At 33.6% G+C, this 25,348-nt stretch overlaps 1 pseudogene across 1 annotated transcript in view; it reads left to right on the forward strand.

The window, feature by feature from the left end:
- The window catches only part of UBBP4 (ubiquitin B pseudogene 4), a 114,402-nt pseudogene that overhangs the window by 82,286 nt on the left and 6,768 nt on the right, over positions 1–25,348 (forward strand). The window contains exons 2-3 of the transcript NR_176224.1: positions 8,504–8,570; positions 10,072–10,194. The product of NR_176224.1 is annotated as a ubiquitin B pseudogene 4, transcript variant 1 (transcript). The remainder of the gene's footprint in view (positions 1–8,503; positions 8,571–10,071; positions 10,195–25,348) is intronic.

Raw genomic sequence — 25,348 nt, forward strand, 5'->3', positions numbered from 1 at the left:
TCCCCCTTACTCAAGTCTTATAAAAGTAATTTCTAGAAGTATTAAAAATTAAATGTGATAGCAAGGAAATACGGTTTTTAAATGGTAATATATATAAGAATATCTTCATGATATATTTAGAGAAATATTTTTAAATAAACACATATAACTTAAAAGTTATAAATTGACTACATTGAAATTAAGAATTTGTCTTCATTAAAAGACACTGGAAAATGAACAAAAATACAAATCATCAAGTGGGAGAAAATATATTCAATACATATAACCACCAAGGTCTAGTGCTAAAAAGACACAAAAGAAATAAAGTCAATAAGAAAAAGACAACAAATAACCCAATTGAAAAAAATGACCAACGAATGGTTTAGAATTCATAATTCATAAATATTAACTCCAAATGGCTAATAAACATAAAAAAGTCTTAACTATTACTGATTGAGAAATTACAAATTAAAACTACAATGCTACCCGACCCTGTACTTATCGTATTGGCTAAAACTAAATAGATGTAGACCTCATTAAGGTCTCCCATACTCTGCTGGTTGGAGAGTGTGGTACAACCTCATTAGAAAAAAATTTAAATATTTATCTAAATCTTAAGATAGACACATCCTATGACACAGCACACCTAAATATTTATCTTAGAAAACTCCATTGGATAAATATACAAAAATATTCATTACAAATTTTTGACTAATTTTCTCAGGTGGAAACAACTAAAATTTCATTGTGTTTATTAAATGATGGATAATTAATTGCTATAATTTTTAATGTAATATTACACAGCAACAATGATAATGAGTGACAACAGTAAGATTTGAGATGAATACATTTTTAAAGAAAACATGAATATTGAGCAAAATACCAAGATTATTTAGTTTGATTCATTTATATAAATTAATAAAAGAGATATATTAATTTTCTGTTGCCGCTGTAGTAAATTACTATAAATTTAGTGGTTAAAAAAACTCACAAAGTTATTTTTTTTTTGTTCTGTAGGTTAGACTTTAACACTGGTTTCACTGGGCTAAAATTAAGATATTGGTAAGGCAGTGTTATAATCTGGTGGTCCTAGGAATAAAATCTCTTTTCTTGACTGTTTCAGCTATAAGATACTGCAGACATTCCTTGACTGTTGTTTCTTTTTTTCCATTTTCAAGGCAAAACTTTGCTTCTCTCTGTGTCATATTTCTATATTCACATCCCTCTAATTTAAAGAACCATGTGATTAAACTTGGTACAGCTAGATAATCCAGGATAATCTTTCCATTTTCAGGTCTTTAGCTAAATGACATTTGAAAAGACTTCTTGCCATATAAGATCACATATTTTCAGATTCCAGGGATTAGGACATGGGCATCTTTGGGAGACCATTATTTTGCCTACCACAAGAGGCAAGAGCAAATTATATTGTCCAGGGAAAAAATATAGTTACAAAAACAATAAAGATATAGAGAAAATAGCTATCACAAAATTCTAGTAGGAAAAATTTGCATAGAAAATGGTATCCCTTAGGTCACAGAGAGCAGTGCAGTATTTCTTGATTTAGGAGGTTATCTCATTGCCCTTTTTTTAACAGAATAGTAAATTTCACATTTACAGTTTGTATACTTTCATACTAAAACTAATTAATAATAGATTATATGGGATTTCAAATTGAGTGAAGAATCACTCTTTTGGAATCACTACTGCGTTTTGACTAGACGGTGATGGGTTGAACTGTTTTTGGCAGTGTATAAAGAAGGAAAGACTGAATAGATTAGTGGGATATTTCAGAACAGTATAAGCAAAAGATTTTTTAAGCTTGTAAACTTTGTAATTTTGTTATTTTTCTCCCTTTCTTTTTGGCAGATTTTACACATCTCTCTAGTGATTCATATAATGATTGATTATATAATTGTTTTGAGAATCTTGAAATGACATCACTTAACCCATGTTTGAGAGCACAATATTGATTAAGAGTCATTATGTCTGAATTTGTTAATTTTTTTTCACATACACTTTCTATTAGGTGCAACTTCTGTTTGTTATCTTAAGTATGATAGATGATGATTCTCACTATACTTCCTTTTTATAAATAACACCTTCTTAAATATTTGACTATGATAGCTAAATAATGCAAAAATCTTGGATGCCAAATAAAATGTGATGCAGTTTAAAAATCCCAAAACAACACACATTATTGACAGTAAATTTTAAATATTATAAATTTTAAATTTTAGTATAAAATAAATTTTAAATACTTTAAGCTATTTACATATTTTAAAAGTTATTATTTTGTTCTATCAATATATTCTTTCTGCATTTTGTTAATTCAATTTAGTTAATCTTACCTAACCAATTTCTTTCTGTAGTTCAAAACTTTATAAGCCCAAAGTGTTAAAATTTCTGGCATCTTTTTAATATACACCATTCCATCATACAAAAAAGGAGAAATACTATTTTAGATTAAGAGACAGATGCAAAATAGTAGATAAAATAATACTGATTTCAGATGGAAGATAACTGATGATCCTAATATTAACCAAGTTTTTTATTTATTTATTTTTTTGAAACAGAGTCTCCCTCTCTTGCCCCTGCTGGAGTGCAGTGGTGCTATCTCCGCCTGGGGTTCAAGTGATTCTCCTGCTTCAGCCTCTCGAATAGCTGGGACTACAGGTCCCCAACACCACGCCCAGCTATTTTTTTTGGTATTTTTAGTAAAGGCAGGGTTTCACCATTTTTGCCAGGCTGGCTTTGAACTCCTGACTTCAAGTGATCCACCCGCCTTGGCCTCCCAAAGTGGTGGAATTACAAGCGTGAGCCTGTAGCCAAGTTTTATATACACTGGCAAATATGTTATTTAAACTTTCTCTTCCATAATGCCTAAACAGAAAAATCTTACAATTTATTATTATGTGCCAAGATTTGTTGTGAAATCAGGTGAAGAAAAAAGTCCAATGGAGCAAATTGATTATCTAAAAGGATCAAATAACCCAATCAATTCATGACTTCTAGTTATTAGTGGATTGTAAATGAGAAAAAAAAAATTTTTTTTTTTTGAGACGGAGTCTCGCTCTGTCGTCCAAGCTACAGTGCAGTGGCGTGATCTCGGCTCACTGCCAGCTCCGCCTCCCGGGTTCACGCCATTCTCCTGCCTCAGCCTCCGGAGTAGCTGGGACTACAGGCACCCGCCACCACGCCTGGCTAATTTCTTGTATTTTTAGTAGAGACGGGTTTTCACCGTGTTAGCCAGGATAATTCAATCTACTGACCTCGTGATCCGCCCGCCTCGGCCGCCCAAAGTGCTGGGATTACAGGCGTGAGCCACCGCGCCCGGCCTAAACTATGGATTTTTTTTTCCCAGTGGAGTTTCGCTCTTGCCCAGGCTGGAATAGGATGGCACGAACTCGGCTTACTGCAATCTCCACCTCCCGGGTTCAAGCGATTCTCCTGCCTCAGCCTCCCGAGTAGCTGGGATTACAGGCATGTGCTACCATGCCTGGCTAGTAAATGAGAAAAATTTTAAAGAAAAATACATGGACATATCTTTCCTTCAAAAAATAAATGTGATATTTATACTTATTTAATAGTAAATTATTCTCAAAATTTATACAATAGTTCACTTGATAATAATACATTATGTGACAAAATCAGCTTGGATTTATTAAATCCATGTTAATATGAATCTAAAATGAGCTTTGCATTTTCTTTATAAACTATAAATATTTTGGGTAATTTTTATGGCTTTTATTGTTTAGTAGGCTCAAGAAGAACCACACTAGCAATGATGTTTCACTATAAGCAAGCCTTTTTCACTGTTATAGATCAAGTGTCTCAACTAGTATCTTGAAAATGTTTGCTCAAGGAAAGGAAAATTTCTTGCCTTGGACTTTACTATCTGGTCACCATGATCAAATCCTGAGGCAATGATTTTCAAGAAGTCATACTCTTCATGACATTGATTAATTCCATGAGAAATCTATTTAGCGATATACAGATAAGATTTAGAAGATGTTCATGGCCTTAAATTGAATTTTAGATTAGCTATATATCATGTTAATATGCAGGTAATAGCAGTTTAAAGACGATGTGATGCCTTAATTATATATTTGTCTAGAACAACAGGCAGCTTTGCAGAAGGTTAGAGTCTATTAATAATATGCATAACAACCGGTCACTTGACATTTAATTTTGAATCTGACAACTTTGGGCCAGTTGTTTCAGGATTCTCACACAACCTAGTGTGCTGAAGAATGAATGCGAGGTATTTCAGTGATGGCAATACATTTAAAACTATACTTAAAAAACACTTTTCAGTGACAAGTGGAGTTTTAAAAATATACAATTTTATTATGAGGGAGTGACACATTTTTTGAGAAGGCTAGTTTTTAAACTGGAAGGACTGAGCCTATTTATTAAACAAGCCTAGAAATATCTGCAGGAAATACGAATAGAAACTGGTAAGTGCTTTGTAGAGTATACCTTAAAGTTATATTGCTGCTTACTTTAAGTATTTTTGTTTCAAGTAACAAACATGGAATGAGGTTAACTTAAGTAAAAAAAAAAAAATTGCTTGAAATAATAAACTGTGGTTTTCCAAATCGAGGGAATATTATACAAAGAAAAGAACCTAGAAAAGGTAGTGGGGAGTTTGTAGGTCTACTGAACATCATTTTCTTAATTCTTATGCAAGAAAGAATAAGCTGGAATTTTTGTTCTGTCTCCTTAGAAGTGGGTTTCCCAGGAAATAAACCTAATTAATGAACTTTAATTATACATCACATATTCAATAGGAGAATGGAAGAAAATTTGATTGACAAAACCCATTGATTGTGGGAGGGGTGGATATTTGAAAAAAATGGAAAACCAATGCTGAATTGCAAAAGTTTTGTTAATGTATAATTCATTTTGAAATCTCAACTTCATTTACATTTTTAGTAGCACTACAAAAATTAATCAATTCATTATCTTCATTTTGTTTTGAGGGAAGATGAAAAACAACTGCCATCCTCATAGTCTTCAATTTACAAAAAATCATCTTGTTCTTCCAAATTTTCGATAAGTTCTTGAAATTTCAAATATTTTCCCCATAGTAACCTTTGTATCTGATCAAGAACAGTGATATATTATATATTGACAATAATATTTTTATCCATTTATTTAGTATATATATCAGGGGTATATTTCTATGGGAAAGGAATAGACAAATACTGACTTTTATGTGTCAGAAATGCTATTGTATTTAATAATTAAAAACATGCTTTGAGACATGCATTAAAATTATTGATTTATTGATAAGACAAAAAATTCAAAGAGATTAGTTTCTTTAATTACTCACAATAAGAAGGAAGAATGTGAATGAAATATAAAATTCTTTCCTATACACTCCTCTATTTTATTGTTAGATTATTTAGAAAGTAAAAACAAGAATATCATGCTGTCTTCAAAGAAATTATATTTTGGTCAGTGGTATAAATCATGTAAATTAAAATGTATTAAGTGCAGAAATATGTACAAAACTGTAGATACACTTCCATTTTATTTATTTATTAGGAGACAGAGTCTTGCTCTGTAGCCCAGACTGGAGTGCAGTGGTGCGATCTCAGCTCACTGCAACCTCCCAATCCTGGGTTCAAGTGATTCTCCTGCCTCAGCCTCCTGAGTATTTGGAATTGCAAGTGTGAGCCACCATGCCTGAATAATTTTTGTATTTTTGGTAGGGAAGGGGTTTCACCTCGTTAGCCGGGCTGGTCTCAAACTCTTAGCCTCAAGTGATCTGCCTGCCTTAGGCTTCCAAAGTGCTGCAGTTACAGGCATGAGCCACTGTACCTGGCCTATAGATACACTTTCAGAGAAAAAAAGAGATTATTTTGGTATGAGATGATGAATCAAAGGATTCTTTGTAAAAAGTTTAGAATTTGATAACAGCAGACACATATCAGATGAAAAAATATTTTATGTGCAAGGGATATTGTGAGTTAAATCAGTGGGGTGGGAAGAATTTAACGTGTGGCTTTTAACGTAAGAATAATAAACAATTTGTAAGTATTTTATATAATCCAGCATACTCTGTATGAAATGGAGAAAACTTTTTCTATCAAAATGCTGTAAGAGGAAAAATATTAGAGCAACTATTTTCACTAATATGCTTAATCACATAATATTAAAAATTTTGGAAGAAAGTTTCCATCCTACATTTCCATTAAAACTAAAATAATAAATTTCAATGAAAATAATTCCTACTTGAGTTTTGCAAAGGAGAAACTTGAGTCTTATTACTATAATTTTCATCATTTTAATATACAATTTTAATGGTTTTTTAAATAAACTTTCTTCACCAGATACTAAATATTTTATCTTACTTTTTTCTCATTTATAAAATTCCTTTGGGGCTGAGGAAAAAGTGCTTTTCAAACTTTACAGTATTTTATAAACAACAAAGGTAGCATTTTATCTGCTACCATTTTACACTTCACTGCTGCACAGAAGTGAGGAGGCGAAGTCATTTGGGGATCTGGGCATTCACTTTCTTACAAGAAGGTTACTTTCCAATATTGGACAAGTATAGAGTTTTCCAAAGAGGCATATTTCATTCAGGTTGCACAATCAGTGTCAAGGTCCCAGAAGGTCATTATCCTTTTCAAGTCAGTTGGAATGACATCTGCCTCAAGCAACCTAGAGGCACAGCTGATTGTTCTATAGTAAGAATATAAACACTTCCTGTAACTTATGTCAGTATAAGTCTGGTGGTAGAAGAGATGCATTTGGGAAGAAGAAGAAATAGAAAGCAAGTTTATTTACTTTAAATATACTTATAATATTTTAAGTTTATTATTTAAAATATTACAAATGGAAATATATACACATGGCTATTAAAATAAGTGTGGTTTTAAATTTCAAAGCCTCATTGAAGAGTTGGATGACAGCAAAGGGAAAACACTTAAGTCCATGTTCATTGCTAGGTTTCTAGATTTTATTTCTTACAATACTGCTTATCTTTGCATAAAAAATGAACAAATCAAAACCATATATATACATACATATTATGTATATATATATGTGTGTGTGTGTATATATATATATATATATCCCCAGTAGAGAACTCATAATTCAACCTGATACTTGTTATTCTTATTTTTGTTGTTGCTGTTATAAGCTCTGGTCCAAGCCTGGACAAAACTTTTACTCCCAATTCCCATTAGCATGACCATATGCTATATTTCTTTCCTGCTCAACAGGAAATAATACGCAATGTGGTGCTTTTGCTTAGAGGAGCTGTGGAAGATGCAACTAAAACAAAGAAGAGAGTGTAGATTCTTACAATAATCCAAATTTTGGCTCACATTATTTTCCAAGCTTTCCTTAATGATTTAAAAGAAGATCTCATTAATCCTCTTGCAACTGGAAAATATATAATCTATTCCACCTCAAAAGATCACAAGTTGAAAGGGAACCAGATCACAGAATCAAAGCTCAGCCGATAGTTACTCCATACTATAAAATATACAATTTTATTAAAATTGGAGCAGATTCCTGAGGCAGATATTATGATTACAGTTTAGTCTGTTGCTGTATGTAAAATAAGACGTAAGACCAAGTTCGGGGCTTTGCTACCTACTGATAATTGCAGAGTGGCTGGTGGGTACAGAACATGAGAAAGTTGTGTGGTTTTTAACTATCCTATCACCTTCCTTAAAAATAATCACTTCAAGCTGGGCACGGTGGCTCACGCCTGTAATCCCAGCATTTTGGGAGGCCGAGGTGGGTGAATCACTTGAGGTCAGGAGTTCAAGACCAGCCTGACCAACATGGAGAAACCCCGTCTCTACTAAAAATACAAAAAAAATTAGCCAGGCCTGGTGGTGCATGCCTGTAATCCCAGCTACTCTGCAGGCTGAGACAGGAGAATTGCTTGAACCTGGGAGGCAGAGGTTGCGGTGAGCCAAGATCATGCCATTGCACTCCAGCCTGGGCAACAAGAGCGAAACTCCATCTCAAATAAATAAATAAATAATCACTTCATTCAACTCAGATGCATTAATAGATTTGCTTTATATTTTTTAATGACTTGCTTAGAAACATTATTTTCTTACATAAGCCCAGTAAAAGAGAATAAAGCTTTGATATTGATGATAAATTTAGAGCATGTACAATTGTTATTTACTCTCTTGGTGAATCACAATTTCCATGATACTACAATTGACAAGTTAATTTCACTATTTTAATGATCTTCATAGTTCACAAACACACACACACACACACACACTTTTCTTTATTCTTTAATTACAAAGACAAGATACTTTTGCTGATCACATTTGATACGGTTTCACTGTGTCCCCACCCAAATCTCATCTTGAAATCCCATGTGTTGTGGGAGGGACCTGGTGGGAGGTAATTGAATCATGGGGGCAAGTCTTGCCTGTGCTGTACTTATGATAGTGAATAAGTCTCATGAGATCTGATGCTTTTAAAAAGAGGAGTTCCCCTGCACAAGCTTTCTCTCTTTTTGCCTGCTGCCATCCAGGTATGATGTGACTTGCTCCTCCTTGCCTTCCACCATGATTGTGAGGCTTCAACAGCAACGTGGAACTGTAAGTCGAGTTAAATCTCTTTCTTTTGTAAATTGCCCAGTCCTGGGCATGCCTCTATCAGCAGCGTGACTAATAACAGTAAATTGGTCCCAAGAGTGCAGCGCTGCAGAAAAGATACCCAAAAATGTGGAAGTGACTTTGAAACTGGGTAACAGGCAGGGGTTGGAACAGTTTGGAAGGCTCAGAAGAAGATCGGAAAATGTGGAAAGTTTGGAACCTCCTAGAGGCTTGCTGAATGGCCTTGCCCAAAATGCTGATAGTGATATGGACAATAAAGTCCAGGCCAAGGTGGTCTCAGATGAAAATGGGGAATCTGTTGGGAACTGGAGCAAAGGTGACCCTTGTCATGTTTTAGCAAAGAGACTGTTGGCATTTTACCCCTGCCCTAGAGATCTGTGGAACTTTGAACTTGAGAGAGATGATTTATGGTATCTGGTGGAAGAAATGTCTAAGCAGCAAAGCATTCAAGATGTGACTTGGATGCTGCTAAAGGCATTCAGTTTTATAAAGGAAGCAGAGCATAAAAGTTCAGAAAATTTGCAGCCTGACAATGTGATAGAAAATAAAATCCCACTTTCTGAAGAGAAACTCAAGCCGGCTGCATAAATTTGCATAAGTGACAAGGAGCTGAATGTTAATCCCCAAAACAATGGGGAAAATGTCTCCAGGGTATGTCAGAGGTTTTTACAGCAGTCCCTCCCATCACAGACCCAAGACCTAGGAGAAAAAGTGGTCTTGTTGGATGTGCCCAGAGTCCCGGTGCTATGTGCAGCCTAGGGACTTGGTGCCCTGGGTCCCAGCTGCTCCAGCCATGGCTAAAAGGGGCCAATGTAGAGCTCAGGCCATAGCTTCAGAGGGTGCAAGCCCAAAGCCTTGGTGGCTTCCATGTGGTGTCGAGCCTGTGAGTGCACAGAAGTCAAGAATTGAGGTTTGGGATCTTCCACCTGGATTCCAGAGGATGTTTGAAAATGTCTGGATGCAGTGGCATCCAGGCAGAAGTTTGCTGCAGTGGCAAGGCTCTCGTGGAGAACCTCTGCTAGGGCAGTGTGGAAGGGAAATGTGAGGTCAGAGCCCCCACACAGAGTCCCTACTGGGGCACTACTTAGTGGAGCTGTGAGAAGAGGGCCACCGTCCTCCAGACCCCAGAATGGTAGATCCACAGAGAGCTTGCACCATGCACAGAGAAAAGCTGCAGATACTCAATGCTAGCCTGTAAAAGCAGCTGGGAGGCAGGCTGTACCCTGCAAAGCCACAGGGGTGGAGCTGTCCAAGACCATGGGAACCCACCTCTTGCATCAGCATGACCTGGATGTGAGGCAAGGAGTCAAAGGACATGATTTTGGAAATTTAAGATTTGACTGCCCTTCTGCATTCTGGACTGGCATGGGGCCTGTAGCCCGTTTGTTTTGGCTAATTTCTCCCATTTGTAATGGCTATATTTACCCAATGCCTCTACCCCAACTGTATCTAGAAAGTAACTAACCTGCTTTTGATTTTACAGGCTCATAGGCGGAAGGGACTTGCCTTGTCTCGGATTACACATTGGACTGTGGACTTTTGAGTTAACGCTGAGAAGAGTTAAGACTTTGAGGGACTGTTGTGAAGGCATGATTGGTTTTGAAATGTAAGTACATGTGATTTGGGAGGGGTTGGGGCAGAGTGATATGGTTTGGCTGTGACCCCACCCAAATCTCATCCTGAATTGCCATGTGTTGTGGGAGGGACCCGGTGGGAGGTAAATGAATCACGGGGGCAGGACTTTCCTGTGCTGTTCTTGTCATAGTGAATAATTTTCACAAGATCTGATGGTTTTAAAAAGAGGAGTTCCCCTGCACAAGCTCTCTCCCTCTTTGTCCGTTGCCATAAAGTACATTATATTTAGAAGACAAAGAATAAATAGAGAAACTATTTAGGAATATCATGCTAAAAAGAGTGTTATGAATTTGTCTTCTGAGTTTCTATGAACATCAGTAGCAATTCATCAACCAATATTTAAGGGCCAAATATGAATCAAAATCTACTGGATATTTATATTCCCATTACATTGATTGAAGCAATGAGTATTATTTGGTTGTAATCAAGGATATAATTGTGCAAGGTCATGCAGACTGAGAGAGTACCTTATCCTGAAAGCATTATTTTTAACTCTCAGGAAATTATATAGTTAATTAGAGAAACTTGAATATTTAACAAAATTAGGAGAAGGAAAGTTTTCTTGGGAGGGAAAGTAAAGTGAATATGCAAGATAAGCAGGAATCTTGTAGACTATCTTGTGGCAGATACCACCATTATTTCTATTTTAGAGATAAAGAAATAAAAACATAAAGTAATATATCTAAAGATGTGAAGCTAATCAGTACCAAATACTAGCAAGAATGATTAAAAAGACCCTATCAATATCAGAAATGTAAAATATCAATTTATGTCTAAAAGCATATCTTTGTTTATGTCTAATACATATCCAAGGCATAAGAAATAGAGAAAACTAAATACAGCAAAATATTGTAATAAAATAATCTTTATATAAAAAATGATACACTTACAATTCAGTTGGAAATATATAAAAAAATTCAAGCTATGGAAAACTTTCCATTGTGGATTTATTTCAATTTTTAGATATGTATCAAGAAATAATTTATAACTTTAGAGTCTTACTTAACTGAAGCATGATATTTTAAATTTAAAGGTAAAATAGAAATTATGTGAATCCAGAGTTAAGTAGTATTATGTTAATTGCACAATCTTACTAGAATTAGGAAATGAATGTTAATTTGAACTATGGCATATAGTCAAGCTTTTAATTCGTATTTCTTTCACAATTCTCATTAAGAATTAGAGCTGATCTGGCTTTTTACAAATCATCAACATTGCCAAGATGGTTTGGAATAGTGCAGTGTTTCAGAGCAGAGAGGTTCATAAGGTTTTATTAGGTCCCATGGGAGAACATCAACTTGTTCTATTCTCCCCCAAGAAACAAACAAATTCACTCAGTGAAAAATCCTCTGTGAGTGGATCTTTGCACACTGATAAGGAGATGGTACAATAGTTGGCATTATAGAACTTTGATGATGTGGAAGAAACACATGGAAGTCATACTTTCTGGGTAAATCAACAAGGTTAGTTAGACACAAATAAACATATTTTTCTCTACGAGACTAATTTTGTAGAATTTAAATTCCACTTGTAATTATAGAGAAAAAAGTGGCAAAATATATACTGTCTGCATTTATTCTTGACCAAGAAAATCCTGAAAAGTATAATACTAAAAAATCGAAAAGGAAATGCTCACGTGATGTAAATATTAGGAAGTTTCCAACTCGGGAATTGAGGTATTACAGAAAGACTAGGAAGCAGCTACCTACATCAAAGCAGGGTGAATTAAACAGAAGAAATGAGGTACCATTAATTAGGTTAATGAGGAACCTTCAGTGGACTGGTTCTTATACTTCTGAGGGGAAATGGTATAGATGGAGTTGGAAAAGCCATGGGAAGCTCAGAGGTTTCAGCTGTAGATTTGTTCTTTTAGTCAAGCAAGCCGAAAGAAAGTATTTACCAACCTTTGGTGAATGCCTTGAAAGCTACTGTTTCGCATATGTTGTTCAATGTTTTAGTTTTGGCAGAACGGTCACTATGGTTTGGGCTGGCATTGGAAGTTTAGAGCAATTTGTCTTAAAATATTTTCATTTGCAAAATTCAACAACACTGAAAGATGCTACAAAATGTAGCTTGACCCCAGATGCTTATCAAAAATGCTTATTGAATAGCATTGGAGCTTATATAAATTATTAATTTCAATTATTAAGTATTAAGATCTAGTAAGAGTTTAATACAAGGTGATTACATCTTTCCAAATCAAACTAAGAACTTCTTAATCATCTTTGGGTAACATTTTTGGATAATTTTTTGTAACATTTTCCAATAATGGCTAATAGCATGTCTGCTTCATTTTCATAGTCAGATACCTGTGATTCATGTGAAGAATTCTCATACATTTAGTCAGAGTTTTATCTTATTTTATTTGAAAATAAATAAACATTTTTTTGCCCTGGAATTATGTTTAATCTTGGCTCCAGGAGTTATGTAATAAACCATTGGTATAATTGAAGACTTCAACACTGGTCTTCCTATTCCATATATCTTAGAGTTACTAGTTCCTTCTCACTTTTGAAGATTTTTTTTTTTGACGGAGTCTTATGCTGTTGCCAGGCTGGAGTTCGGTGGCATGATCTTTGGTTACTGCAACCTCCGACTCCCTGGTTCAAGTGATTCTCCTACCTCAGCCTCCCGAGTAGCTAGGATTACACGCACCTACCACTACACCCGGCTAATTTTTTTTGTGTGTGTGTTTTTAGTAGAGACGGGGTTTCACCATGTTGGCCAGAATGGTCTTGATCTCCTGACCTCGTGATCCACCAGCCTTGGCCTCCCAAAGTGCTGGGATTACAGGCATTAGCCACCACACCTGGCCACTTTTGATGGATTTTTAAAATTTCTATATGACTTTATGTCATCTAAATTTTAACTCAAATGCACTCGTGTTAATTTGTTAACATTTTATTTTTTATTTTTGCGGCTACATAATAGGTATTTATATCTGTGGCATATGTGAGACATTTTGATATAAGTATACAATGCGTCAAAATCACATCAGGACAAATGGAATATCCATCACCTCAAGCATTCATCCTTTTTTGTGTTACAAGCAGTCTGACCATACTCTTTTAGTTATTTAAAAATGTACAATGAATTATTGTTGACTGTATTCACCGTGTTGTGCTATCAAATTACCACAATCAGAATAACTTCTCAACCTGTCTCCATATTTTACACTGATGTTGAAAAGTCAGTTCCACAGAAAGCAATATTTCAATTCAAATAATAAATTACAGTCTTGTTAAATGTTATTTAAAATATTACAGTGAAGAATATGAAGAGATTACATAAAATTTTCCCCAGGTTTAAAATAATACTCAAATGCCTAAATATATCAGAGCTATTTCTAATGATGTATTTCAGTTTGTATATCTTTACTCACAAATATTATTTGAAAAATAAGACAATCTTCTATTTCTTTATACATATTTACATATGTAAGCCATTACCTATTAGCTGGCAATTTTTAAAAAAACATAATAGGAATATATACCTTTTAACTTTATCATTCATTGATACTATTGACTACAAGAATAAAAATATATAAGTAAAAATATAGATTTTATATAACCAGCGCCAAATTATATGTGCATTTATCAAACTTTTGGAGGCTTTTACATGAGAAGGCTATTACAATCACTCAAAAAATTTTAGAATATAAAAACTCTCTAATTTCAAGGAATGTAAATCTTTTAAGAGGCAGGCAAGTGAAAAGTTGAATCAAATTAGAGGAAGGTCTATATCAAAGTAATGGATAATTATTGAATTTTGAGAATTTCTTATTAAAAATATTACTTGAAACTGTCTCTGTCTATGGCTTAATTTTTTGTCTTATGGTTTTTGAAAAGCATATTTTATTTTTTTAAATTTAAACAATATAATTAAGTACAAATTATAAAACCCTTCCATTGGCTAAAGTTATCAATTTACTTTTCATTATTATGGGTACATAATAGTGTCTATATTAATGGGGTACATGTGATGTTTTGATAGTGACATACAATGTGTAATTATCAAAACAGGGTAACTGGGATATTAATCACCTCAATTATTTATTATTTCTTTGTGTTAGGAACATTCCAAGTCTACTTTTTCAGTTATTTTAAAATATACAGCAAACGACTATTATCTACAGTCACTCTATTGTGCTACTGAATACTTGATCTTATTCATTCTAATTGTATTTTTTTGTGCCCATTAACCATTTCCCCTCTATCCCCTTGTTCTGCTACCCTTCTCAGCCACTGAAAACCATCTTTCTACTTTCTATCTCCATGAGTTTATTTTTTCAGCTTCCATATATGAGTGAAGAGATATAATATTTGTCTTTCTGAGCCTAATTTACTTCACTTAACATAATGTTTTTCAGTTCCATTCACGTTGTTGCAAATGACAGGATCTCATTCATTTCTATGGCTGAATAGTGCTCCATTATGTATATATACTACACTCCTTTGTCCATTCATCTATTGATGGAAAATTAAGTCAATTTCATACCTTGGCTATTGTGAATATTGCTGCAATAAACAATTGCTGCAATATTATTGCTGCAATAAACATGAAAGTATAGATATTTCTTTGATACACTGATTTACTTTCTTTAGGGTGTACACCCATTAATGGTATTGCAGGATGATATGGTAGTTCTATTTTTAGTTTTTTTTAAAAAACCTCCAAGCTGTTCATAGTGGTAATACTACTTTACATTCCGACCAATGGTGTATGAGATTATTCTATTCTCCAAATCCTTACCAGCATTCTTTATTGCCTATCTTTTGCATAAAAGTCATTTTAACTGGGATGAGATGATACAACTTAAAATGACCATGAGAAAACCGTACATATTATTGGAACTAAAATCAACAAAATTGATCGTAGCCCGTGTTGCTGTGGATGGAGAACAAATAAAACTCTCACACATTTGGGTAAAAAATCAAACTTTATAACCACCTTGGAAAATAGTTTGGCAGCATCTTCATACATTGAACATAATACCTGCCAGCTATTTCATCCTTAGATATTAACCCAAAATAAATGATAATATATGTCCATACAAAAACTTGTACACTGATCTTCATAACTAATTTTTTCCTAGTAGCCCAATACTGGAAATAACCCAAGTGTCTATGAATAGGGGAATGGTGAAAAAAATGAACATATCCATACAATGGAAGAGTATTCGTCAATAAGAGAAAAACTCTTCATACATGCAACAATATTGATAAATCTCAAGAATTATACTAAGTAAAAGGAGTCAAGCTATTACCTGCCTCCAAAAAAGACAATATTAAATGGTTTCATGTATGTAACATTATAGAGAGCACAAACTATTCCATACTGACAAAAGTCAGGGCAGTGCTTCCTTGGGGATGAAAACTAGGCAGCATTAGGAGAGTGAGACTGAAAGGAACATGAGAAAACATTTGAAGGTAATGGATTTGTTCACTGTGTTAATACAATGCATTTTTACGTATAAGACCTACCAACTTCCACAATTTAAATATGCACAGTTAATTGTAAAAAAAGTATGAGTAAATAGAAAAGAAGCCACAAAGTCACTTGACACTGAATAAATTTTTCAAAAAAGTTATCGTAGAAAAGGGAAAGTCTTATATATGCTGTAAAAGTTAAAGGACATGCCACTAGACTAGATGCATAACGTGGGAAGGAGGGGAGAGCATTCTAGGCAAAGGAAGCAAAGGAAGAATAAAGCATTAATGCCAAGGAGTGTTGAGAAGGAAGTGATAACACTGGGATGAAAAACTACAACAGGGTGAAGAACAGCTGTGAACATAACATTGGTAGATAGATTTATCCTCTAAGGGATGGCAATACGGTAAAAGATTTCCAAAAAGTTCACATAAAAAAATGAGTGTCAGCGTTAGTGAAACAAAAGTCCTGGCAGAGAGTAAGACTGGAGGGAGAAAACATTAAGACAAACAAGAATATGCAACTTTAAATAAGATAAATATAAATATTTTATTGTTATAACACCTTATACCCTATTGACCTTGTGAACTTTAAAAACATATGTAAAATATAAATCAAGAATATTCTGTATGGTGAGATTATAGAATCAAATAGCAATTCAAAGACCCCAAATTCCAAAATGTATTCTAAGTAGTATAATTTTTTTGTTAGTAAGTGTAAAATCTATTTCAATCATATCTAATCAGCTTGCTCATTAGAAATAGCGTATAGTGTTTTCAGCTAGTAAATAAGTCTGTCACGTTTCATTATTATTATTATTAAAGTATTATTAGTATCTATTTCTTTCCCTCAAAGTCATAACAGCCTATTCACTAGATAAAATCAGCTAATTTTTCCAACATTACACTTAAAACAAGTCTTTTTTTCTGAATTGCTTGATGGTGACTTTTGAAAAGAACTTTCATGAGGTAGACAAAAATAAACTGCAAAATACACATTTATAAAACAGAATTAAAACAATGATACATGAATCTGGAATTAGAGAAAATAATCAGCATATAAATAGAATCTGAGAAGAAGTATTACCCTTGAAAATAATGGCTGTATCATTTGTAATATATGTAATACTCATAACATTCATCTTGTGGGTTTTTTTTTTGCTTTTAAACAAACAGTTTTGGATTTTGTTGTTTCATTTTATTATAAGTGACACATGTTTGTACATATTTATGAGTTAAAGTATCATGTTTCAGTAATGGATACATTGTATAATGATTAAATCAGTGTGATTAGCTTATCCTTAACATTAAACATTTACCAATTCTTTGTGATGATAGCATTCAAGATCATTTCTTCTAGTTATCCTGAAACATACAAAGCATTATTGTCAGCTATTTTCACCTACCGTGTGATAAAACACTAGAAGTTATTCTTCCTGTCTAACTGTAACTTTGTACCTAATATTCAGATAGGCAAGTAACTTTGTCATATATGTAACCTGGTCTAAATGAACAGTAAACAGTGATCGGTCTTGGTTTATTATGTTGACTAATAGAGAGATCAGTGGTCATAATAATCTTTTTTCAAATGTGTTTCCATTTGTAAGAAAATTTTATTTATAATTTGAAAGTGCTCAGCTCTGCTTTTCTATATCGTTTTGATACCATTGTCCACAGTTGTATGCTTTTGATGCAAATATTTCAGATTATTTAGAAGTCTTAGGAAGGTTAAAATTACTACATATTAATACATTATCTGGCATGTTTATTATAACCAAATAAAAAAGTTTATTCCTCTTTTAATAGAATTTTAAACACATGTGAGTTGTTCTTGTATTCTTTTATGAAAAATGCTCATTTCAAGAGAACACATTTTAAGTCATATTTTTATCAAATATATTAATTAAAATTATAATGTCATTTCAAACTTTATTCAAACTTAATTCTCAACCTCTAGCCTGCTTGTCATGATAGTCTGAAATAATAATGACATAAAATACTCTGATGGGACAAATAAATTACTCTCACCTTTCTTGGGGAATGAGAAAGACAAAACAGAAAAATCAGTAAAAGATATAAAAGCAGTTTTCTGGAGTTTATTGGTTATAGTTACTTGTCACAAGTATCTGTGTTCATCTGAGTCTGTAATTACGTAGCTGACTCTCTGAAAAGGGAACACAGTGATGAAAAGACAAAACTTGAAATTACACAATTAATTGCAAACTATTTCTCCTAAGGCTATATATCACGCCTAAGAGAGCCTGAGCTTAAAGGTTATACTACTAATTCTCTTTTCAAATGGTACTTTTATTAGCCATTAAATATCACTCAGTGTGTGATTATTTTTACCCTTGTCTTAGAAATTGTGAACCTGAGACACTAAAATGGGTTAATGGCTCTAAATCAGACAATATATAAAAATCTCAACTAATTTGTTTTTGTAAACTGTTTGGATCAAGTTACATGCAAAAAAAAATGAGTACAAAGCTTCAGGGAAAAACACATTAAATAAATGTGTGCTTTACAATAGGAAAATTATAAAATATCAGCTTTTGTACTCATCTTCTTTTCAACATCTGTATCTTGAGAATGAGTGGGCTACTTCTGTAGTGAGGAAAACTCCCAGTAGTTAATCCGTTGCTAGTCATATATATACATATATATGCCATCATATGCCATCAGACACCTGAAATTTTAGATATATTATTGTAATTTATAGAACATATTTATGTTAGCCAATATTAAAAAACGAGGATATCCATTGGCTTGTTAAAGAATAACATCCGAACAGTACTGCAATGAAAGTTGCCCGCTAGTAGGGGTGTGTTTTTCTCACTTTTATAAATTCAGAGTTTGAATATAATATGGGCCAATACATTGATACTGCATATAAAATAATTAAAAATGGAACATATCATCAGGCAGTATACAAATCTTTCGGGATACATAGTGTTGGGTGGGGGCAGAAGCTACATAAGAACTTAGGAAGTACAGTGGGTCAGGGAGAGATGGTACAAAAAGAGTTATCACAAAATTTGCATTTCATATTTGGATCCAAACACACACACACACATACACACACACACACTCTTATACAACTGGATTTGGTACTTTTTGATACTTTTTATAGACTTTTTTAGGAATGTGCCCTTAACCCACGCACACAAAAGACCTCGCTCAAGTTAACTCAACTTGTCATTACAAGCAGAAGAAAGCAAAGCATTGTGGTAGTTCATCTTGGAAATATCTGTAAGGTTTTTATCTGATCAGTTGGCTTTTTTTTATGTTTTTAAAACAAAATAGAATTTGGAAAATGCAAGCTGTATATTATATTTGTAATGAATTTTATACTTCAAAAATGAAAGTGAGTGACTTCCCAGTAGTAAATATTTAAATACTTCAACAATTCTAATACTTAAATAGTGGATTGTAAATTTATTACTGAACTAAATAAATTCTTCAAAGGTATTTTATTTAGTCTGTAAAACATTTGTCAGTTACCTAGCTTTATAATTTAAGGAGTTTTTCTTCATCTATAATAAAAAGTTTAGTCTCTGAAACTATTATCATAATTGTATAGTTATATGTGTTTGATTTTCTAGAGGAGCATATACTCACCAAAAAGTGTTTTATATCATCAAGAAGAGTAAAGGAATAATAAAATTATTACCATATTGTAGAGTTGCTACAAATAATATGCTATGCTGCTGTTTCAACAAAACTGTCTACAGTTTTTTTAGGCAAGTAACTCATTTCTTATATATCAGATTAATGATTATGAAAACTGTAAATATGTAAAGCAGGTATGAAGCAATAAATTTTTTTCTACTTAGTAAACTCTGGAAACATCTTTATATCAGGAAATGTCTTTACTCTTAGTGATGTTTAGAATAGCCACCCTTTTTAGTAATGCAAAAGGGATGAAAATGCCTTTTACCTCATGACTTATTTCATTTAGGTCACCATTTTTATACCTGTTTGATATAAGTTATTTAATTTTTTATTTTAACTTTATAATATTGCATGGTCTCACTTACATGTGAAAGCTAAGAAGGTTAAAATCTTGAATAAAGAATAGAATAGTGGTTTCCAGAGGCTGGAAGGGTTGTGGGGAGGAGAAGATGAGGAGACATTGGTTAATGGGTAAAAAATAAAGTTAGATAGAATCAATACAACCTAGTGTTCTGGCACAATAGGGTGACTATAGTTAATAATAGTTTATTGTATATTTCAAAATAACTAAAAGAACGAAATGGGAATTTTTCTAATAAAAATAAATTATAAATGTGTGAGGTGATATATATCCCAGTGACTCCAATTTGATCACGATAATGCATTACATTGTAAGCTTGATTTTTAAACATACATACATTTTGAAGAATCAAATAATCTACAAAATTTATCTATTACAAAAACAAAACACAGTAGCCAACCCTAGCTCTGTTTTAATGACAAAAACAGAAAAACCAAGGAGCAATGAGAGTATAAGCATGACATTTAGAAATATAGGGATTATAAACAAAAGTACACAGCTATCCCAAGGTACGGTGAGTGGCCAGCTCCTCCCTTCAGCTAAGGCACTCTCAAAAGGCTGGCAGCTCAGGGCTGTTTGCAGGTGGCCCTCCCAGCACTGGGAGTAACACATAATCCTGTACTGAAGGAGGATCTTGACAGTGTCACGTGGCTTCCATCCATTCCCTACTTTGGTGCTGGATCACCTTTTGTTCAGAATTGCATATTATTTCCTTTCTTGGTATCTCCTTTGTTTTGTTATATGCTCTACTGTAGTTTCCTAAAGTCCATAGGAGTTAAGATTTCTGAGACCTTGTACATCTGAAATCTACACTTAACTTTCAAATAATTGTTAGCATGGGACATAATTTAAGTTTGGAAATCAAATTTGCTTCAGAAGTTAAAGTCATTGCATCATTCTCTCTCAGCTTCAGAGATGCTGTTGAGAAATCCAGTGTCAATTTAACTTTTTATCATTACTATATTAGCTTTTCCGCTTTGAATTCACCTAGGATATTCTCTTTTTCCCAAGTAATCTTAAATTTCAGGCTTATTTGCCCCAGAATGGATCTATTTTCATCCATTTTTTGTCTCTCAATGGGGCCTTGCAACTTAGAAATTTAAATTATTTGTTCAATGATTGTCTACTCTCTATTATATCTGTGTTCTTTTTAAGTATTACATTATTAAATTAAATTTACGGTATATTAACTATATATTCAATAATATATTAAAATATATATTAATGTTATCAATGCATATATATTATGCATTACATTATTATATTCTATATAATATACATCAGGGGTATTTTATTAATGTATATTAAAATTATGGTATATAACGTATCTATATATACATATATATGTTTATGTTATACAATGTATATGTATACATATACATATAGGTATAACATGTATATACATGTGTGCGTGTGTGCATGTATGTGTACATATATGTAGTTAGCATAAAGTAAAATGGAGACCAGAACTGGAGAACCCCTGAGTAGACAAACCCATTAAGGCCTCATTAGTGATATTATATTAATCTTGCTTGGTTTGTAAACATAATTTAACTTGAGCTATCTCTCTTATATACCCATATTAAAGAAAACTAACATTTAAGGCTAACCAATCAAAAGCCATCAATTAATTATAGTTATTATGAATGTTGCAGCAGGATAGACCAAATAAGGCTTTATTGGTCTATTTTTGGATTGATAATAATGTTAATATATTTGACTTTAATGACTCAAAAATTGTCATTACTTTACTTCCATGTTCTCTGTATAAAAGCCTTCCCCTGGCATTCCTTCAGCACAGCCACTTTTGGTTTACAGCAGCCTTATTCATGAATCACTGGTTGCTAAAATTAAGTATAGTATTATTGTGCTTTTCTTTACACTTTAACAGACAAATTTTATATATAGTTATATATAAGCATATATCAATATACATATATTTATCATGTATAATTTGTCTATATTACATACATATATATGGTCTACAAAAGTTCTGGTCTGGTTTGCAATTTTAAGTTTCACTTTTGTTCTTAGAGTGTCACAATAATATCTTTCAGTCTTTCTACTAAATTTCAATTCTCTGCTCATATATTTAATTTAAAAAATTCTTTTGTTCTCTGAGTATTTATGAAGTACCATAATCTTGTTTCACAGACATGATAGCATTTCTTTTATCTCTGAAATGGTAATGAAAGTTTTTGCTTTTTTCTGTTTCTATTTTATTTTTAGTTACCTATCTTCACAGTCTCTGTTTTTTCCAAGTTGCTTTCTTTAAGTTTGTCTGTTTAATATTAGAACATTCCTTTCGTATCTGTGATCTTGACTCATGTTTAAGATGGAGTCATTAAATCTTATTTGAGAATTTGTACACATGCATGCTGTTTGTGGATTGCACATGTGGTGACCTAGCAAGACAATATTACTGGAAAATACCCAGAGCCAATGTATCAGGTCATTTTTGAGGGAATAATCAGGTTTCTGAAAATATAAATCTTTCACTCTTTAGCTGCCCCTACTTCCTATTTGTGTGGTATTCTTCCTCTCAATTGTGGTAGAACTGTGGCCAGAAGCACTGTGGTCCAGATACTTTTTCTACCTCGATGGGTAATAAATTTCAATTTTCTAAGATAATGAAAGACAGCCTCTTCTGATTGCCTGAAGTAGAAAATCCAACTTTCAAGCAATCTTCCAATTTTCACCCTTTCTCCTAACCTACCTCATGTTGCCAATTACTGAACCCTGCAAATGTTCCACAGTGCACGTCACTTTGCTGCTCAGCTGTCCATACTGCCTCTTTAGGATTTTACTTGTTAAGGCCAATTGACAGTTACCATTATGCTGGTTTTTCTTTGCTTAAAATACTTTTGCTATTATTTCCCCTTCTAACTCTCAGAAGAAACAGATGCAAATGTTTGTGTTTAAAACAATGTCTTCAAACTGGAAATTCATATTTACTAAAATTACCTGATTTAGCTCTTCAAAAATAGAGAGCAATTTATTTATATTATTACATATTTTCAGTAACTCTTTAAACTCCTTTATAACATGTGTGCGATTGAATTCCAGTTACCTCAGCATCATTTATTGAAAAGGGAGTCCTTTCCCCATTGCTTGTTTTTGTTAGCCTCGTTGAAGATCAGATGGTTATAGGTGTGTGGCTTTATTTCTGATTTTTCTATTCTGTTCCATTCGTTTGTGTGTCTATTTTTGTAGCAACATCAAGCTATTTTGGTTACCGTGGCTTTATAATATGATGTAATGTCGAGTAATGTGATGCTTCTGGCTTTGTTCTTTTGGCTTAGCATTGTTTTGGTTATTTGGGCTCTTTTCTAGTGCCTTATGAATTTTAAAATCATTTTTTTCTAATTCCGTGTATAATGACATTGGTAGTTTGATAGGAATAGCAATGCAAATTGCTTTAGGCACCGTGGCCATTTTTATGATATTGATTCTTCCAATCAATGAGCATGGAATGTTTTTTCTATTTATTTGTGTTACCTCTGATTTCTTTCAGCAGCGTTTCGTAGTTCTCCTTGTAGAGATCTTTCACCTCCTTGGTTAGCTGTATTCCTAGGTATTTCATTTTCTTTGAGTCCATTGTAAGTGGAATTGTGTTCTTGATTTCACTCTTAACTCTTAGCATAGATGTTGTTGGTGTATGGAAATGCTACTTATTTTTACACATCGATTTTGTATCCTGAAACTTTACTTATATTGATTATCAATTCTAGGAGCCTTTTGGTAGACTCTTTAGCATTTTGCAATAGAATCATGTCATTAGCAAAGAGAGTTTGAATTCTTCTTTTCCTATTTGGATATCTTTTATTTCTTGCTCTTGCCTGATTGCTGTGTTTAGAATTTCTAGTACTATATTGAATAGGAGTGGTTAGAGTGGACATCCTTGTCTTATTCCAGTTCTCAGGAGGAGTGTTTCCAGTTTTTGCCCATTCTGTATGGGGTTGGCTGTGGATTTGCCATAGATAGCTCTTATTATTTTGAGATATGTTCCTTTAATGCCTAGTTTTTTGAGGGTATTTAATATTAAGTGTTTTTGAATTTTATCAAAAGTCCTTTTTATGTCTTTTGAGATAATCATGTGGTTTTTATTTTTATTTCTATAATAAATCTCATTTATTAATTTTTATATATTGCAACAACCTAGCATTCCAGGAATAAAGCTGCTGGATTAGCTTTTTAATATGCTACTGGTTATTTTCGTCTCCCTAGGTGTGATTTTAGGATGTCAATTTCAGATCTCTAACTTTTTCACATGGGTGTTTTCCACTATAACCTTCCAAATTAACATGGCTTAGCTGTGTCCCAAAGATTTTGGTATGTTGCATCTTTGTTTTCATTTGTTTCAAATATTTTTTTTCATTTCTGCCTTAATTTAAATTTTCCCCAAAGTCGTTCAGGAGCAGGTTGTTTAATTAGCATGTAATTATATGGTTTTGAAAGAGATTCTTGGTATAAATTTCTATTTTATTGCGATGTGGTTTGGGAGTGTGGTTGATATAATGGGTTTCTTAAGGACGTCTTGCAAGGCTGGTCTGGTGGTAATGAATTCCCTTGGCATTTGCAAATCCGAAAAGGATTTTATTTCCGCTTCACTTTTGAAGCTTAGTTTGGCAGGATCTGAAACTCTTGGTTGGATTTTTTTCTTTACAAATGCTAAATATAGATTCCCAATCTCTTCTGGGTGGCAGAGTTTCTGCTGAAAGGTCTGCTGTAGTCTGATGGGGTTCCCTTTGTAAGTGACCTAACCCTTTTCTGTAGCTGCTTTAATATTTTTTTCGTTCACACTGACCTTGATGAATCTGATGATTATGCGTTTTGGGGATGGTTGTCTTTTCCACTGTCTCACAGGAGTTCTCTGAATTGCCTGAATTTGAATGTCAACCTCTCTAGCAAGGTTGGGGAAATCTCTTTGTAGATCAAAGAACTATATGGTTAAAAAACACATATGGGTGTGGTGGCTCACGCCTGTAATCCCAGGACTTTGGGAGGCTGAAGTGGGTGGATCACAAGGTCAGGAGTTTGAGACCAGCCTGGCCAGCATGCTGAAACCCCGTCTCTACTAAAAATATAAAAAATTAGCCAGTCATGGTGGCATGTGCCTGTAGTCCCACCTACTTAGGAGGCTGAGGCAGGAGAATTGCTTGAATCCAGCAGGTGGAGGTTACAGTGAGCTGAGATTGCACCACTGAACTCTAGACTGGACAACAGAGCGAGACTCCATCTTAAACAAACAAACAAACAAAACCAATAAACAAACAAAAGTCTGTAAAAGTAGTAGAAGAAAATACAAGTAAATATGTTTATAAGCTTGGGTAAGGAAGAATTTTTTTTTTTTTTGAGACAGCGTCTTGCTCTGTCTCCTAGGCTGAAGTCCAGTGGCTTGATCACAGCTCACTGCAGCCTTGAATTCCTTGGCTCAAGCTATCATCCCACCTCAGCCTCCTGCATAGCTAGGACTCAGGCATGTGCCATGCTAAGCTAATTTTTTATTTATTTTTAAAATTAATTAATTTTTTTTTTGAGACGGAGTTTCGCTCTTGTTGCCTAGTCTGGAGTGCAATGGTGCAATCTGGGCTCACTGCACCCTCTGCCTCCCGGGTTCAAGCGATTCTTCTGCCTCGGTCTTCCGAGTAGCTGAGATTACA

The sequence above is a fragment of the Homo sapiens genome, chromosome 17 (assembly GCF_000001405.40).
Source record: "Homo sapiens chromosome 17, GRCh38.p14 Primary Assembly".
NCBI lineage: Eukaryota > Metazoa > Chordata > Mammalia > Primates > Hominidae > Homo > Homo sapiens.